The 19,058-nt window shown below is 40.5% G+C and overlaps 1 protein-coding gene across 9 annotated transcripts in view; it reads right to left on the reverse strand.

Annotated features, from left to right (window-relative positions):
- Window positions 1-19,058, reverse strand: part of PRKCQ (protein kinase C theta) — a 186,550-nt gene that overhangs the window by 99,395 nt on the left and 68,097 nt on the right. For 5 of the 9 annotated variants that reach the window (XM_005252497.5, NM_001323265.1, NM_001242413.2 and 2 more), the window contains exons 3-7: window positions 17,504-17,703; window positions 13,945-14,005; window positions 4,905-5,067; window positions 3,729-3,760; window positions 3,544-3,629 (exon numbers count right to left, since the gene is read on the reverse strand). In XM_005252497.5, the coding sequence (XP_005252554.1) occupies window positions 3,544-3,629; window positions 3,729-3,760; window positions 4,905-5,067; window positions 13,945-14,005; window positions 17,504-17,703 (542 nt within the window). The remainder of the gene's footprint in view (window positions 1-3,543; window positions 3,630-3,728; window positions 3,761-4,904; window positions 5,068-13,944; window positions 14,006-17,503; window positions 17,704-19,058) is intronic. The other 4 variants (NM_001323267.2, NM_001282644.2, NM_001282645.1 and 1 more) reach the window with 3 other exon arrangements.

Here is a 19,058-nt window from a genome sequence, read left to right on the forward strand (position 1 = left end):
AGAATCCCAAAGATGATGTCCCCTTGAGTGAACAAGAAATCAAAATATCCTGGGAGAAGATAATATCACAGACATTTATTTATGTAGCTGACAGTTTCTCAAGACTTTGTACCAGGAACTTTGTTAGTCATTGAGGTTAACAGTGATTCAGAGATTTGCGTTTTTTTCTAGAAAAGCTGAAGGCATCAAGTAAAGGAAGAAGTCTGGGAGGTGAAAATTTGATCTAAGCAAGCAAAAACATGGTCTGAGAGATTGTGATCTTAATTTTAGTACCAGCTCTGCCACGTACAGGTGATCAAACATGAACAAACTACTTTAACCTCTTTGAGTCTTAGCAGAATCACCGGTTAGCACAAGTTTATCTCCTTCTGCTTCTAAATGTTAGGAGAAATTCTACTCTGGAAAAACCCAGCCACTTCGCCTTCTCTGAACCTGCCCCTTTGTTGGAGAAAATCATACTCCTGAGCAGGCTGACTCCGTCAAATTCAAATGGACTTTCAGCTCTGCTCCACAGTCTGACTGCTTTTCACGAGTCACCTTGCTTTCTCTAAGATAATTATCTCATAGATCTTCCTTTTTCCTCGAAGGCACTTGTTGCTTTCTCTTTTCCTTCCTCCAGCCATCAAACTCCATGGGGGACACATGCAGTCTAAGGGAAGCGCCTTTGTGTGCCCATCACCAAAGCTCCACACCCATCCCCATCAGCAACTGTCTTGCCCTACTCCCTTCCGGTTAAACTGTGGAAGCTCCAGGGACCAGTCTCCACCAGAGCTCAGGCCCTCTTCGCTTCCTGCCAACAGACTTGACTGTTTTGTTTATCTGTCTCTCCAGCTTTATCCATCTCTCCCTGGCCACGGGAGCACTTGCCATCCTTGGGGTCTCATTTCCCAGCCACTGTTCTCTGTCCATCATCTCCTTCATGGTTCACCTTCTTCATAATATCAACTTACAGGTTGTTTTCATGTCATCACCTCAGTCACCCTTCTGCAGGTCAATCAGACTAATGCCTCCAAGATGCCCCTGACATTTCTCTGATTTAAGCCTGTGAAGATCTGCACGTGGGCCTCAATTTCAACACCTCAACTGCACAGAACACAACCCACCTCTTCTTCTTCTGGTTTCTGTAACTTCATAGACTCTGGGTGTAGGAGGAGCGGTCTCTGAGCCCAGTTTCTCAATGTCTATCTCTGTCCTTTATCTTCTACCTAACATCTCATTTTAGATTCCTTTGTAGTCAGTCCTGAACTTTCTCTATTTCCTCACTAGGCAATCTCTTCAGCAACTTTAAAATCTACCTATATGATGGTCACTGTCAAATTTATAGGGTTGGGCCCTTGTCCCAGAGGAATTCCAAGCTCATGTGAAATTGTCTATTTGATGCTTCAACTTGGATGTCCACCTCTCCGACTCAACATGTCCAAACTGGAAAAATTCATCTCTCCTTCCAGTCTTCTTCACTCCGTCGTGGCTCTGTTATCTACCACACTGCTCGGCCTCGGGCAGAAGCCAGAACCTGCGGCATCATCCTTATATCCACCTCTTTCATCTAATCTTTTGGCAAATCCAGTCATTTCTAACATCAAAATCACCTGAGAACCTGCCCCTTTGCTCCACCTCTGCTGACGTCTCACTGGTATAAACCACCAACCTCCCCGCTTGGAGGATTCCTTCCATCTCCTCTGGTTTCACTTTCACATCTCAACGCACTATTTCTACTACAGCATCCCAAAGTGGGCTTTCTACTACAAGTTGCACAAAATACAATCATTTTTCCAGGCTCCAAAGAAACCCCGCATGACCCAGGCCTTGGTGCCTTCCCCAGTGTGGGCTTCCAGTCTGCGCAGCCCTTGCAGCTGTCACCACACTGGTCCCATTTCAGTTCCTGGAACACATTGGACTCTCCCTCAGCAGGGTCTTCCAGCCTGTAAGGAGCTTCCTTCCTCCTGCTCTTCACCTAACCAGCTCTGTCACTCTTCAGCTGTCAGTTTCAATGTTCCCTCCGTTGGGGAGATTCCCGGACCACAGAGTCTCAGTAGGCCACATGCTTACTCTCCACCTTGCACCTTGTTCACTATCTTTGTAGCACTTAATATAAATCGAAGCCATACATAGCTGTTTATTATCTGTTTCTCCAACTTCGCAGGACCACGTCTGTTTTGTGTTATGCTGTCATTGGAAGAATGCGGTATCTTCCATGAATCAGATACCCAGTGAGGATTTGTGGAATGAAAAAGGAAACGGTGGGAGAAGGAAGTCAAAAGATTTCATAATGAGTGACAGAGTGGAGTAATAGACATTGGAGACTACAGATGGCAGGATGGGAGGGAGGGAGGATTGAAAATTACCTATTGGGTGTAATATTCACTCTTCGGATGGTGGGTTCACTAGAAGCCCAGACTTCCCCACCAGGTAATATAGGCATAGAAGAAATCTGTACTTGTAGGCCAGGTGTGGTGGCTCATGCCTATAATCCCAGCACTTTGGAAGGCCAAGACAGGTGAATCACCTGAGGTCAGGAGTTTGAGACCAGCCTGGCCAACATGGTGAAACCGCATCTCTACTAAAAATACGAAAATTAGCCAGGCGTGGTGGCATATGCCCGTAATCCCAGCTACTCAGGAGGCTGAGGCAGGAGAATCTCTTGATCCTGGAAGGTGGAAGTTGCAGTGAACCAAGATGACACCACTGCACTCCAGCCTGGGTAAACAGAGTAAGATTCCATCTCAAAAAAAAAAAAAAAAAAAAAAAAATTGAAAAAAGAAATCTGCACTTGTACCTCCTAAATACATATAAATTTTTAAAAATTTAAAATTCATAATGATACACTGCCCATGTGCTAGCCCAGTTTCCCCCCTCCATTAGGTAAAATGTAATTTGTCTTCCGATTATACCTCAACGTTTACTCTAAAAGAAATATTTGCTTCTCAACATAAAATTATGCCTCTGTTATTATCTCTAACCTTGTAAATGCCATGTTGCTGTATCTTATCATCATTTGCCTTTATTTACTCTTTTACTGTCACTTCTAGCTGGGGGTGCCACAAGGATTATTCTCATATAATTAATCTAAACTATGCTTTCTGGCCACTTTCTATGCCATTTTTCTGGAAAAGTAGAGCAATGAAAATTCTTCCTGTATATAATTTGTGTATATTTAGGAGGTACAAGTGCAGATTTCTTTTTTTTTTTTCTTTTCTTTTTGAGATGGAGTCTCACTCTGTTGCCCAGACTGGAGTGCGGTGGCATGGTCCTGGTTCACTGCAACCTCCGCCTCCCGAATTCAAGAGATTCTCCTGCCTCAACCTCCTGAGTAGCTGGGATTACAGGCTTATGCCACCAGGCCTGGCTAATTTCTAATTCATCCTCTGGTTTGGGTAATTCAGTAAGAATCATTATTGAAGAGGAAAGAGTTTTGGGGAGATGGATGTTCACTGATAAATGGGAGGATGCAAGTTCTGGCATTATTCTGAAGAATTCGTGGGCTGTAACATTTAACGTTCTGATAAAAATCACTGCACGTCAAAGAGGAGTGTAAATACTCACCATGGTTTCTCGGCTATTGATAGCTGATCCTGTGCACTTTGCTATAACTTTATCAATACACTTCTTGTGAATTGCTGCATTGCATTCTGAAAAGAAGAAAAAAATCACAGCTTAAGATTTTCATAGCCTAAGGAATAACTAAATAAAAAGAATGATGGTAATGCAACCAAAACCCTCTTACTTACGTCGGCACTGGTAGCCCTGTTTGTTCAGGCCCCTGTAATAAAGCACACGCTGATTTATTTCAATGTTGGCATCAACATCAGCACCAACAGCATTTAAGAGATGGATGAGATCTCATAACCCCCTAAGATCACAGAGCAGTTTCTGATCAGCAGCCCTGTTGTATCATTTGCCAAGAGTATTAACAGAGTGTTTTTCATTTGAAGCTGCGTTTTAAAAAGTTTGATAATTAAATAAATGAGAACTGGCTGATTTATCATCCTTGTATTTTCCAAACATATAGAGATTAAAATGCATGAATGAAAATGCATGCATCACAGACTCTTCGTAGCACGTTTCCCTGTGCTAGATTTAAAAATTCATGGCCTCGCTGAGCTCACTACAGACGAACAAAGACATCTGTAACATTTTATTTCCTCTTTCTGAGCATCTGAGAATATTTGCAACCAACAAAGTCTCACATGCAGGACCGATTCCTGAGTGACATCCATGATTAGAGAGAAAGGAGGTTCAAGTGATTAGACGAAAGCAGGCTGATGAAAACCCGCCAAGTCGATCTGGCATGTGGATACCCTGGTTACACAGGAGCTGTGCTTTAACAGTTTCTGCAGTAGCCTAAAGGGAAGAGTATCCCTTAATAGGCTAGGATGCTGAGAGCCAGAAACAGGAGTTATTTCAAGTCTCCACTCTGTCATAGCCTTTGCTATGTGGTTACTGAGGTTTAAACTGATCTGTTTGATGGCTATTAAGATACCCAAGAGCCTCATAAGCATTTAAACCATTAGCTACAATGGCAGAGTGCTGCCTGCTGGAAAAAGTAGCACCAGCAGGGTTGGGCCATTAGGTGGGGGAAGTTTTGACTATAAAACTGGAAAACTGTTTGTAATAAAGATACCTTTCACTTCTGTTTCTTCCCACTTACCCCCAATAGCCCCCCCATTGAGGCAGAAACTAAAATCCCATGGGCATTTTTCCTGACTAGACCTGGCTTCCTCATGCACCTCTTTTATTGGATCACACCATTTGAACCTTCTCAGTTCAGGCAAGGTCCCTGACAACGCTGAGGTAGCATTTACTCCAGCACACCCCCCACAGTGGAGCATGCCAGCGTAGAGGATTAAGAAGACGCAACAAAATGCATAACCCGAAGCTTGGAGGGAGATGCCAAGTTACTGTACCAGACAAACTCGTGGCAGACAGAGCAAAATGTGGGCTGTGGGAAGAAGGTGGCAGTGAACTCGTGGCACTTGACGTGGTGGACCTTTGCCTGCTTGATGGCACCCCGGCGCTGATGCAAAGCAAAGAAGCCTTCCGTCTCAAATTCATTCATGTCCTTTGTGTCTACAGGAAGAGAGAGGGGAAGAAAGTGAAGTTCTGCAAAAGGACGACTCCTATTCTAAGCTGGGTCAGGAGGGGAGGGAGATGGGCAAGGGATGGAGGAGGACCAGCTCTGAGTACCTGCTGTAACATTCCAGGTACTCATTATGGTGGGTACCACACTAAGCATCTTTCCTCAAATTCTACAACACAGATTCATCATAGGGCATATTGTTAGAGGGTGAAAACAATGTTGGATTGCTGGCTCAATCCTTCGCTCCTCTTTGACTGGGCTGAGCGATATATCCTCTTCAAGTTTCAAAACCAGAGATTAGAACTTTGAAGGGATCTATCAACCTCTCTTTGTCACCATCAATGATGACTCAGTCAGAAAAGGCAGGAAGTGGCAAAGGCTTTCCTGTCTGTAATTCTAGAGAATCACATGGTTACTGACAGCCTCTTGGGAACAGCATTTCAGAGGTGCCAGGATGCTTTATAGCAGGTTGTTGGAGACATGCTGGAGTAGACTAGGGGGAGCTGACCAGGATTTTGTGTGAGGAGAAAGGAACTTTGGGACATTGTGTCCTGGTTCCTGATGTCCACAGTGATCAGACACACCAGCTGCCAACCATATTTACCAATGTGAAAAAGGCCAGAAAATTAATAGCTCACTGCATTTTTTTGGTGTCTAGGTAATCCTGTGCATTACCTAGTCATCAGCATCAAACCATCAGATTCAATCTATTCATTTTACTCTGGGCTCATAAATATTGGTGAAAGTGCTTTGGATAGTCACTGTTTACAGTGCCCTATACCTGAATGACATCTTTCCAAAGGGTTGAAAAACTAAGATAGTCAAATTATGAGAATGCTCAGGATGCCCTTGCTGAAGCCCAGGTCCTCATGAAACACCAAATTGTAAGGCAGTCATGGTTAAACAGCACAGTGGACACAGCAGGTGAGAGAGAATAACACAAGGAACAGTAAAGAAATAAAAATATCCACTGCTGTAACAAAAATGATACACAAATAAATATGTGAATAAATAAATAAGGATAATGAATTTAAATCCCAGAGTTATAATTTTGTAATAGCTTGAAGACTCTTGGATTACTTCTTCTATTTTGTTACAAATACAAAACATTGAGGTTTCATTTAAAAAGCAGGTTCATCATATTTCACAATGAGTTAATAATATTCAAACTAAATTTCTTCTATTGTGGCTAAGCAGTGGCAGTAGCCTGACAATGCGTTTGGGGCAAATTATCTTCCAAGATACCTTATTGTCCAATCCCTAACAGTGGCTAGATTAGAAACACTCTAGGTAGACAAAGGAGGAGCTGTGTGGGTAGAAACCTCCCCCAGGAATCCAGCCACATCCCAGGACACATTGTAGGACTGAAGTCTTTTCTGTAGTGTCCGCAGATTTGTTTTATGGCAACCCCAACTTCCAGACAAAAAGCATTTCCAGTAACCCTCTAACAGTTCCACAGATGGGACATAATACTTTGCCTAATACTTTAAGAGTAGGTAATTTTGGTCTTTTTACCTGGAACTAGGCTGGAAATAATAGATTTGGCTTGGTAAATGAGGGGTTAAATTAAGGATCACTGAGTTAATCACCTTCTTCCACAAGTTCTGGTCTAAATGTCCAAATCTATTTACAACTTGTGACTAGTATAGTAGGTCATTTGTTTATAACATGTGACTTGTTTCTATTTTGGTCCAGATGAAATAAAATAAAATAAAAATAAGTATAAATACACTTTTAAATGCAGGGAATGAAAGTGAATTATTATGGGGACCCTATACAGGTTTTTACTGTAAAAATCATATATGTTTATATGTATATTAAACATATTTTATACATATATCTATACATATATGTTTATATACATATATGTCTACATATAGTTTATATTTTTATAAACTATAAATATATAGTTATATACACAATTTCTACATTAGACTATAGTACTATAATTTTTTTAAAATATCAGGAATTTCTAGAAATGAATTAATACCCTGTTATTTTCTGTGATTTTCATTATTCTCTATTTCAATCATTACAAAAGAATAAATGTAAAAACATAGAATTCTTTAATTTTTTTTGTATTGACTATATTTATTTCTCTATTTACTGGTTTGAATGAGCTCATTGGTTTTTGCAATTTTTTTTCTTTTATACTAATGGATTCTAATCTATTTATGTGGTCTAACCTATCACTTGTTTGTAGTCAATCAAATTACAAGTTTCCTGAGCAGCTGTGAGTAAACTGCCTTGCTGAGTGTGCTGAAGAAACACATTATTCCTCACCCTTGCATGGCTAACAGTCAAGTCAGGGAGACGTGGCACAGGCACAGAACAGCCAACCTTAAGAGGCAATATATGATGGTGTGGAATAGGCTCCGAGATATGTGTACCCATATTTTTTAGGAGGTAGGAAAAGAAATGGCAAAAGAGACCAAGAAGAGGCAGCTGAAAAATTAAGAGGAAAACCTGGACAATATCACATCAGGCAAGCTGAAAAGAAATGAAGTTTTCAGCATTGTATGATAGAGAGATATCAAGGAAATTGAAGGCTAAGAAGCAGGAACCACTTGTGAGAACTCATAATCTTGGAGACCCAGAGTCTTAGGGTCTAAGAATAGAAGTAGAAGGGAAGAAAAAGAAACTGATAAATATAAACTACTTTTTAAAGGAATGTGTTAGGGAAAGAAAAAAAAACTCAAGGAGGTAAAAAGGTGAAAAAAAAGAAGAGATGATGTTCAAGATTGGGGAAGATGCATAATGCAGTATGTCTTGGGAATAAGGAAGAAACTGCAGAGAGAAGGAAGAGTTGAGGATGTCAGAGGTAAAGTTTATTGATAGAGCAGGACTGCTGGGATGAGAGGTGTGCAACCAAGAAAGGGAGCAGCTGTCTCTGAGGCAGAGGAGCAGGAGGAGAAGGCGGGAGGAAGCAACTGCATCCTAAAGTGTAGAGACAAACAGAAGACAGGGTCTCGGCTGGGCGTGGTAGCTTACAACTGTAATCCCAGCACTTTGGGAGGCCGAGGCAGGCAGATCACCTGAAGTCGGGAGTTTGAGACCAGCCTGACCAATATGGTGAAACCCCGTCTCTACTAAAAAAAATACAAAATTAGCTGGGCATGGTGGAACATGCTTGTAATCCCAGATACTCAGGAGGCTGAGGCAGGAGAATCGCTTGAACTCGGGAGGCGGAGGTTGCGGCGAGCCAACATAGCACCATTGCACTCCAGCCTGGGCGACATGAGCGAAACTCTGTCTCAAGAAAAAAAAAATACATAAAAAAATTAAATAAAAAGAAGATGGGGTCTCTACCACTTATATTGGAGGCAAGGTCAACCTCCCAGAATCAGAGGAGATTGAGGCATCCCCAGAAACCAAGGAGGATGGGAATGGTAGGAATAGCCATTGTGTGGGAATCAAAAAGAAATGAAGGAGATTTCTAAGTGCCAAGGTGAGTCCAGCTGAACAGTTCAGCAGGCATTCATTGTGTACTTCCTGCATGCCTCACCAGAAACTTGGCACCACAGTTAAAGGAATTAATGAGACGTGTTTTGACAGTGGCTGTTCTGCAAGGAGTTAAGAGTCCAGAGGGAAAGAAAATCGATGTGTCAGAACAGAGGTATTCACAGGATGCTGTGGGACCACGGAAATGAGGAAACTATACCAGCTAAGGCAGGTGGAGGTAGGTGAAGGAGAGAAAGAGGGAAGTTGGAAAAGAAACGTCCTGGCAGAAATGTTTCTGTGCTGAATTCTGGACAGGTAACTCCTACTAATGTGTGGGAGAAGGTATGGTGGGGAAAAGCCAAAGGTGCTCTCTCTGGGTGGAAGGGAACAAGCAAAGCTACAGAGCTAAGGTTCCTCAGGGTGTGGGTGGGGGTCCAGCACTAGCTGGGCATTGCCAGAGTGCAGAGGGTGAAGCAGAAACGATCAGCAGTCACTTCCAGAAGATGTGTAGGTGTCAGATCAGTTTGAACACTTTCCTGCAGACAATTTGCAGATGCTGGAACACTGCAGTAGGGGCAGAGGCTTGATATGGTCAGATTTGAGCTTGGCATCGTTACTTCTAGGACCACCATAGGAGAATGGATGGGATATGGCAGGAGGTAGTAATGATGTAATTAGATGATGAAATGGAAAAAATATTGACTAGACAACACGAACACAAATGATTGACTGATGCATTCATGTGGAAGTTGAAAGAAAAGGAGGCTATAAAAATTACTTCCAGGTTTTGTGGAGTGAGTTATTATATAATTAAGTACGATAGTAAGTTACAAAAGAAATAGGTTACTCGTGAATGTGGCAAATGTAATTTTGGATACTTAGTTTAATTTGACCCCTTAAAATGTGTAAGTACAGGAAATCTGGTCAGAGAGGTCTGCTAAGAAGCCAAACATAGAGTCTGAACCATAGGAATGTCATCTAATACCATCTGTTTGTAACACACTTAGCTGTATGACTTTTTCTAGCAAAGCCGGGGAGAATGAGAGGGGAGAATGCAAGGTTTGGAGATCAGACTATCCATGGCAAAGGGGAACTAATGAGAGCAGAGTGCTGACAAAGGCTTATCATGGGAGCCAGGCTAGGTAGAGTTAATGCCAGAAAGTGGGCTAATAAATAGGGTAAAAGAGAAACTGGACTAAAGGCTAGTACTTATTGTCTGAGAATAAGGGCAGAATTGCCAGGGGAGGAAGATGAGCTCTGAAAAAGCAAGTTCTGAGTGTGAGTCCCTGGAGGTGGAGAATTCTGAGTGATGATATGTGGGTTGAAGGTTGGTTACTGAATGGATAGAGAAGCACAGGAAGGTGTGAAATAGAAAGTTGGCAGGGGGGCATGAGATGACATTGGGGAATTCTGAAGTTACAAGAGTAATAATAGGAGAACAGAGGAAGAAGAGAAAAAATGATTCCTGCTCAAAAACCCAACAGAAGGGGATTTCAAAGAGAAAGAACAAAGTAGTCTGTTATGGAGAGCTGAGCCATTTACTTCCTGGTGAGGTAGAGGAGGTGAGGCTTCCATGGAAGAGAAACATGGGAGACATGGTATTATCTCAAGTGTTATCCAAATTTGAATTCCTTATCCCCCAATCATTTTCCTCCTCTTTCCATATCTCCCACTTCTGTGACTCCTACCATTTTCCCAGTCTAGCTATTTTAAGAGATATTCTCAACATTTTTTCCCTTCATTCAACTTACATTTTTAAGGATTAATTATTATTATTATTATTTGGAGACAGGGTCTTGTTCTGTTGCCCAGGCTAGAGTGCAGTGGCACTATCTTGGCTCACTTTATCTTTGAAGTCATGGGCTCAAGTGATCCTCCTGCCTCAGCCTCTCAAGTAGGTGGGACTACAGGCATGTGCCACCATACCCAGGTAATTTTTAAATTTTCTTGTAGAGATGGGGTCACTCTACATTGCCCAGGCTGGTCTCAAACTCCTGGATTCAAGTGATCCTCCTGCCTTGGCCCCCAAAGTGCTGGGATTATAGGCATTAGCCATTGCTCCCAGCCTAATTTTTAAAGAATTATAAAGCATTTCAACTATGTACACTTAACAGGCATTCTGTAGATATTTCATCTACTCTACCATGAAATCTCTCTGCAACAGTATTTTCTTTTAGATTGTTCCTTTTATTTTATTCCTGTAGCTACACCCTTAGAACAGATTTTTATCACCTCTCCATAACATAAGTGAAATTTTGTAGACCAATACTGTGTAATTCCTTGAGTAAGAGAAAGTATATTCTTCCCATTAGTTCAAAGCATGACCCAAGACTATGCACTCCTCTTGCCCTCCAACATCTGTCTCTGACTCTTCATTCTGGTTTCAGCAGGAGCCTGCTGGTCTACCTAGGCTGTTCTCCCCACAGCCCTCACACAAGGCATATTCTTGCTCAAGCCTTCACTTTTTCCTCCTTGTAAGGCCATCCCTCTTCTTTAGAAAACTCAACTCTTGCTAACCTTTAATGCCCACACTGTGGAACTTACTGAAATGAAAGCAACACACACTGATCTCTTGGTTAATCAGTATTTGTGTGGTTTAGGTTATAATTTTATCTAATTGTCTAATCTGTACCACCTCTGGGTATATGTTCCCTGAGGAGAAGAACACGTTTTGCTTTTCTGAATCCTTCAGAAGACGATTTCTTATACTAATAATGAGCTTTCTTAAAAGAATGCTCTCCTCCTTGTCATCAACAAGGAATTTTCTAGTTAGGTTATTCCATAACTTTGGTTTTTAAAATTAGATTTTTTTGACACATAAAAATTTAGAGATGGAGTGTCAATTTGGATCTAGATATAAAAAGTTTTAAATATTACAAAGATTTATTCTTTTTTTTTTTTTGAGATGGTGTCTCACTCTGTCTCCCAGGCTGGAGTGCAGTGGTGCAATCTTGGCTCACTGCAAGCTCCGCCTCCCGGGTTCATGCCATTCTCCTGCCTCAGCCTCCCGAGTAGCTGGGACTACAGGCACACACTGCCATACCCGGCTAATTTTTTGTATTTTTAGTAGAGACGGGGTTCCACCATGTTAGCCAGGATGGTCTCGGTCTCCTGACCTCGGATCCACCTGCCTCGGCCTCCCAAAGTGCTGGGATTACAGGCGTGAGCCACCGTGCCCGGCCAAAGCTTTATTCTTAAAACATTTCCTAGGCTTATGTCATTATTGTTTACGGAATATCATTGTTTTTGCCCGATTGAATTTGCTCTCTCATTCTAATAAAATATTTAAGTTCCACAGGAATAGAAGGACCATCCATGGAATTGTTTTTCAAAGCAGGGATCTTAAAATCATTTACCAAAAATACTTGCATTCTGATGAAGGACACTTTTTCTCCTTTCTTTCTTTCTTTCCTTCCTTCCTTTCTTCCTTCCTTCTTTCTTTCTTTTGAAGGACCCTTTTTCTCCTTCCTTCCTTCCTTCCCTCCCTCCCTCCTCCTTCCTTCCTTCCTTTTCTTTCTTTCTTTTTCTTTCTTTTCTTCTTTCTTTCTTTCTCCTTCCCTTCCCCTTCCTTCCTTCCTTCCTCTCTCTCACCCTCTCTCTCTCTCCCTTCCTTCCTTCCTTCCCTCCCTTCCTTCCTTTCCTTTCCTTTCTTTCCTTTCTTTCTTTCACTGTATCATCCACACTGCAGTGCACTGGTGAAATCACTGCTCACTGCAACCTCAATAACCTGGGCTTAAGCGATCCTCCCACCTCAGCCTCACAAGTAGCTGGGACTACAGGCACGCACCACCAACTCTGGCTAATTTTTGTATTTTTGGTAGAGAATGGGTTTTGCCATGTTGCCTAGCCTGGTCTGGAACTCCTGAGCTCAAGTGATCTGCCCACCTCGGCCTCCCAAAGTACTGGAATTACAGGCATGAGCCACCATGCCCAGACAAGACCCTTTTTCAATTTACATTGGGTCATGATTTAAACTAATGGGAGGAATGTATTTCTCTTATTCAAGGAATTAAACATCATTGATACTATTATTTAGGTCAGCACTTTCACATTTTATGCAAATCTGGTTATTCGGATATCCTGCAATCACTCTATTTCAGCCAACTCAAAAGTTGTACTATGTGTACTGTATATCTACACCTTCCAAGAGGAAAAATAAATAAAATTTCAGAGTACATTTTTCCCATCTCAGTAATTCTTTCTTTCTTTTAAAAAAATTTTATTATGGAAAATTTCAAATATACCTAAAAGTTGAGCAAATACTATAATCAATTTTCATATATCAATCATTCAGTTTCAGCAATTATTAACTGATGGCCACTCTCTTTCAATACACCCTGTCCATCCTACACCCCATACCATTGGATTATTTTGAAGCAAAACTATGGTATCATATTATTTTATCTAAAATATTTCAGCTATTCACTGGTTTTTCTTCAGATCGAATAAATCTTTCGCCTTTTACTAAAATATTTCAGCATATATATGTAAAAGATCAGTGTGCCTTTTAAAGAAACATAACCGCAATATTATTATCACACCTAAAAGATGAATTCACCATGCCTCAATATCATCAAATATCTAGTGAGTGTTCAAGTTTTCTATGATTATTTCATAATATTGTTTTCTCTGATGTATTTGTTTGAATTTAGACACGGAGGAATTATATATGGTAAGCCGAAACTCAGAAAGCACCATAAATGTATAAAGTTAAACTTGCTTCTTCTTGGTAGTAAAATTAATTTAGGAAAAAATGAAGTGAATTTACCATCAGTAAGTTTACATGTCCATGCTGTGACTTAGGATTTTCTAAGTAGGGGGATTTGATTCACATACACAGCCCTGACAGCCTGTCTCAGCACATCGTACCGGGAAATTTCACTTCTGTGGCCAAAGTCCACATGTAACATGGAATCAAAACCCTTTAGCAATGTGTTTTCTCACCTTTTCTTGTTCCTAAAAGGACTTGAGGTGACTAACTTCAAGTGTTAGCATTTTGTTACTAATTTTATGGAATATATTGATTGACTTCTTACTTATTTTGTATTCTACTGATAATATGGTAGCTTCTTAGAGCACATCATTTAACCATAGACAATGTGTACACACATAACCACACATCAACAGTCTTTTGTATTTAGACTGAATTCCCAAACTAAACTAAAGACAGAGTATAAGAGCTTTGGGCATATGGATTCACATCACTTAAAACAAGTGCTATAAATGTTTTATATTTCTACGTTTTTCCGGCCCAGATAGTGTCTTTTAAAGTCATGCCTGAGCACCTCTGAGAATTTTAAAACAATTTTGTGCCTCTCTTTTCTCCTGATTCTCTTCTACAATAATTGCAAAGGTAAAATAAGCTGCATTTGAGGAGAAGGCCATGCCCTCCTCACCCCCAAACAGGAAGAAGAAATGTCACTTGCCACTCATTTCCAGAAAGTATCTTGCATTCATTAGCATTCGGCCTTGAGGTTTCAGCTCTAACTGGTTGGGAGAAGGAGAGAAACATCAGTCAGAATGTGAAACAAGCCCTGAGTTCAATGACATCACTGGCTACTGACGATGGCAGGAGATTTCCACCACAGAATACAATCATTGTTACTCTCCACTGTACTCAAACTCATTGTCATCAGACGACTGTAGCAACCGTGACAATCGCCTTTCTTTTCTTAAAACATCCCAGCAATTCATTAATTTTATTTGGAGAGAAAAACTTACATAAGGAAGAAATAAAATCCTAAAACAGATTCTATTTGGTTTTCTTGCCCTGTAATGCTGCGTATCTGAAGGACTGTCACAGGGCAGACCCAGATCTTCATCATGACAAAAGAATCACAGGCACTGGGACTGGCTTCCTTGGGGAAAAAGCTCTTCTTTTGGAGGGAAAGATAAATCCTGCCTCTTTGAGGCCGCCTCCAGGCCCCTGTCTTCTTTTCTACCTGGGATGCATGTCTAGGTTAATCAGGGCATTCAATGGGGATGGCTTTTCTCTTTCACAAAGAGAGATTGTATTTTTAGGAAAGTCTTGGATGGTCCACTAAAGAAAATTCTAATTACACTGATCTGGGAAGGAATTTATAAATGTATATAAATACATACTTCAGTACTGTATTATTATGTAGAAGAGGGCGGAACAAAGTGTCATTTTAAGGGATGATGTAGGATCTCCCATAAAGTGACATAAGGAGAAGAAAGGACAAATCCAAGTTCAAGACAAGCTGAGCGCTGTTGTTAATCTATTAAACCATCCCACTATGCCATTAACAGACCAAAAAGAATAAGAAAGAAGATGACTTGAAGGTCATTATTGGTCATTATGTCCATGGGTTATCCACGTGAGCCGGAGTAACTAAGAAATAGCAAGTAATGTCCTGTGGAACTCAGGATTGAATCTGAATCGTGGCTAAATAATTTTCTGGTTATGTGACCTTGTGCAAGTCACTAAGTCTTGGGAAATCTCTGAAAAACAGACATAATAGCAATGCCTATGTCACAGCATTACTGCCATGAGAATTTTATGATAAAATAAGCTTGCATTGCTGCAACAACTATAAATTTTCATATGAGTTTCAACAGATTAATGAAAAGAAAAGTGCTTTTGACATGGCATGTATGCACCATTGTTCTCTGGCTTGTGAATAAGGAGTAAAGATGGAGGCAAAAATGGAGATGGAAGAGCTATGGTAAGGGGCCTGCTTCCAAATGGAATAATGAAAATTGGCACCAGGTGACCACAAGGTTGGCAGTATTCAGTACTTAGTAGTGATGGAAGAAATTAAACCAATTAGCTACTGGAAAAACAGCACCCATAGAAAGCCACATTCCAGCACATTTTGGGGAGTGAATGGGAGACAACCATGAAAACAGTCACAACCTTGGGAAAACAAAAGGTGTCTCTCAATACGGCGTTGAGAAACATGAAAGGCAAATTTGAGAGAATCATTTTCTTTAGAGAAATTAGTGTTGGAAAAGCAGATTCCAATAGAAGCAAGGGAAAATATAAGTCCCAACAACCTGTTGGCTCTTAAAATAAAAGTAAATTAAGAAATAACCTTGGCAAAAAAATAAAAAAGAAAACAAAAAAACCCACCAAAGCTTAAAAGTGCAAAAAATGTGCTAGTTGGTTAAATGAGCATCTGAATGCCACCATGTGCTTATGTCTAAATAATCCTAGAATGCAAAGAAAAGTCTGTTAAGGATGAAATCAGCAAAATCCTAGGCAAGAAATCATATGCAACTTGAAGAGATACAAATAGAACAGCAACCTGCCTATCAGTGAAGACTACTTAACAAAAAGATACTCACCCTCCGACTTATCCTTTCATTAATTGAGAAGGAAACATGAATAGAATCGTATTTTTAAAATTGGGGAATTGACGACTCTTTAAAAAAAAAATTAGGTAGACCAAATAAACTGGTCTTCCTCAGTTTCTCCCATTCCTGCTTCTACCTAATAAAATAATTAGGCTCACTGCAACCTCCGCTTCCCAGGTTCAAGTGATTCTCCTGCCTCAGCCTCCCAAGTAGCTGGGATTACAGGCACCTGCCACCACGCCTGGCTAATTTTTGTATTTTTAGTAGAGACAGGGTATCGCCATGTTGGCCAGGCTGGTCTTGAACTCCTGACCTCAGGTGAACTGCTCACCTTGGCCTCCCAAAGTGCTGGGATTACAGGCATGAGCCACCACACCCGGCCCCAGGAACCCTTTTCCCAAGCCAACACACAAGTGCTGAGTAGATACTGCCCAACTAAATTACCTGGACATATCTAAGCATGGGCCTGAGCACCTTTTAAAAAAAATCTTGGCATATATTTGTCTCTAAAGATTACTTTAGTGATACGAGCAAAGATTTTTATACTTTCTTAAAAAGCATCCATTTTTTTAGGTCAAAAATACAAAACTGACACAAAAACCTAGTTTTTAGGCTTGTATCATTCCCATTTGAAACCTGTGACTTGAAAATCTTCTGGGAGGATTTCTTAAAATCTGAGTTCTTGAAAATCTTTTGGGTGGATTTCTTAAAATCTGAGTTTAAAATCTTTTGGGTGGATGTTTAAAAATCTGAGTTATAGAAAGTAAGAAGCAGAAAGTCAGGATTCTCTCCTTTGGCACAGATGATATAAACATTTGAAAACATTTTCTGGATTTCAGATCATGTAAAAGCAGTTTCTTACTGATATATTTTCTTTTATTTTGTGCCCCAGAAATTTTCATTGGAATTTTTTTAACGCTTTGATTATTTTACTCCTCCTTTTAACATTTCTAAATATTTACTACCATAATCCAGGTTTTTGACAACTTGGTGTGCTAAGATGAATTGTGTATGATGCACTTCTTAGTCAAAGTAAGCTAAGTTCATTACAGCTGAAAAAAATTGTAGGAATTGTCAAAGTATAGAGAGAGAAGACCAAACATTAAATGGATCTTTGTTCTATCCTCTCGCATTCTGATAGCTTTTTACTTACTTTAAAAGTGTATTGATGAAGTTTAATAAAATTAAGATTTTGATATCTTAACGTGTTCTGAGTCTACTGGGTTAAACAAGTAATTTCTAAGTTAAAAAGCATTAGAGTTGTTGTTTCATAAATCTTGATTAAGTTTTATATACAAATATTCTTCCCAAAACTGAAAAAGTGAATGAAACTGACAACTGGATTGATAGACAAAAACTCATCCCCCACTTAAGGGGAATTTGAGATATTCCAAGCCTGCTTTAACAGTTTTAAATAATTTATCATAGTCTAAGAGACTTTCTACATCTCTTTGATGTAGGCATCAAAGAGATCTGAAGATGTCAATGTGTTCTACAGCCCATAAAGAATAACCATCGCCATTATCAAATCACCAGTAGGAAGTGGTAGGGAGCCTGGTGACCCGAGGCCAGTGTAATCACACCCTCAGATTGACATGGGAGTTCTGAGCCAGTCATCGGCTACCATCATGCTTATCCCTTATGTGCATACACTTTATGCAACGTTACCCATATTTCTGTCTTCCCGTTGTTCTTCCTGCACCTCTCAGCCAGCGAGTAGAGCTCCACGGTGGTTTCAGAGATGAGGTCCACGTTTTTGCCTTTCACAATGATCTGCATGACTCTTCCCTTGTTGATATGGGCATCAAAAGTGCTGTCCCAGGGTGGGTACATGGTAGGCTTTTTCTGGATATACATCTGCCCGTTCTCTAGGAACAGAAACGTAAGGTCTCATTATTCCTTCAGCCAGGCCTGGAAAATAATTCAGTTCAACTCAACAGTAGCACCTGCTCCCTCTGTTCTCTGGGATATAGAATTCTGTTGGGAAGACAAAAGTAGCACATAAACAATCAGAGACAATATGGGACAGAATGAGACAGTCCCCGGGTCCAGATGCAAGGTGATGCATTGAACCTTATAAGTCCAGCGTTGATAATTCAGACAACAATCTGCTAATGCCTTGGACTGGAAATTGTTACCAAAACACCAGGCATTCTAAGTTCTGCTGCTCACCGCACAGAAAGCCAATGACTGAGATGACGAGAATTGCCAAGGAAGAAGGCTTTAGTTGGGTGCTGCAGCCGAGGAGATGAGAGCTCAGTCTGAAGTCCATCTCCATGACCAACTAAAACTAGGGATTTATATAGCAGGGAAGAAATGTAACTTTGTATGAGAAAACAGGAACTTGGGAGGGGTAAGTAAGCAATCATGATGAACCAGGGGCCTGGCGCTTCAGTCTCTGGATGCCATGATCTGGTGAGTTTCAGTTCTTTAATATTTTTTTTGAGAGGTGTGGGGATCCTTTCTTGAGGAAGAAACTCAGATAAAACAAATGTAAATTCCAAGCTTTAAGATCAGAAGGGTCCATTTCTATAATCAGCCAAAAACAACTGTCTATGGGACTATTGGGTTGGTTTCAAAATGTTATTTTCCTATTCAACAGTTAGTTGCTTCACTCTGGGTTTAAACACCTGAGCAACAAACTTTTTAAAAAATCTTTTATGCCTTTGAGATTCTCCTTTATTAATCTGTAGTGTTGATCCTATGACTGATTAACCTCACTGGCCCCAGCTTAAACATAGTCAATACAAAACTACTGTGTGTTCATCTGAAAGACATAGTGGCGTAATTTCAGCGCATAATGAATGCTCCTTTAAGAAATATTTACATTTTTTTCCATTTGACATAAATACAGTAAGAGACAATGATCTTTAAAACATAATGAGCCATTATTTCCTTCTCTAATTCTTGGGTGAAGATACATTTTACATGTACCATGCACCCTCAGCAAAAGCTGATGAGCAAGTCAGAGAGGTGGTGCTGATCTTTACCCATGGAGCCAGCAAGGCTGAAGCCGACTGCCAGCCTGCAAGTGAGTAAAGGCAGGTAGGCAGGAGCCCTGGAAATAGTAACAAATCTGTAGACAGGAAGGTCAGTCTAGGGGAAACCTCCCTAAAGCCGCTCTGTGATTGGCAAAGAGTTTACTAATTAAGAAGTTTTTTCTTGTCTTTCACGCACATTGGATTTTCTCTGGTATTTATTCTTTAATCATTTCAGAAGCAGA

Source organism: Homo sapiens, chromosome 10, assembly GCF_000001405.40.
Source record: "Homo sapiens chromosome 10, GRCh38.p14 Primary Assembly".
Lineage (NCBI taxonomy): Eukaryota > Metazoa > Chordata > Mammalia > Primates > Hominidae > Homo > Homo sapiens.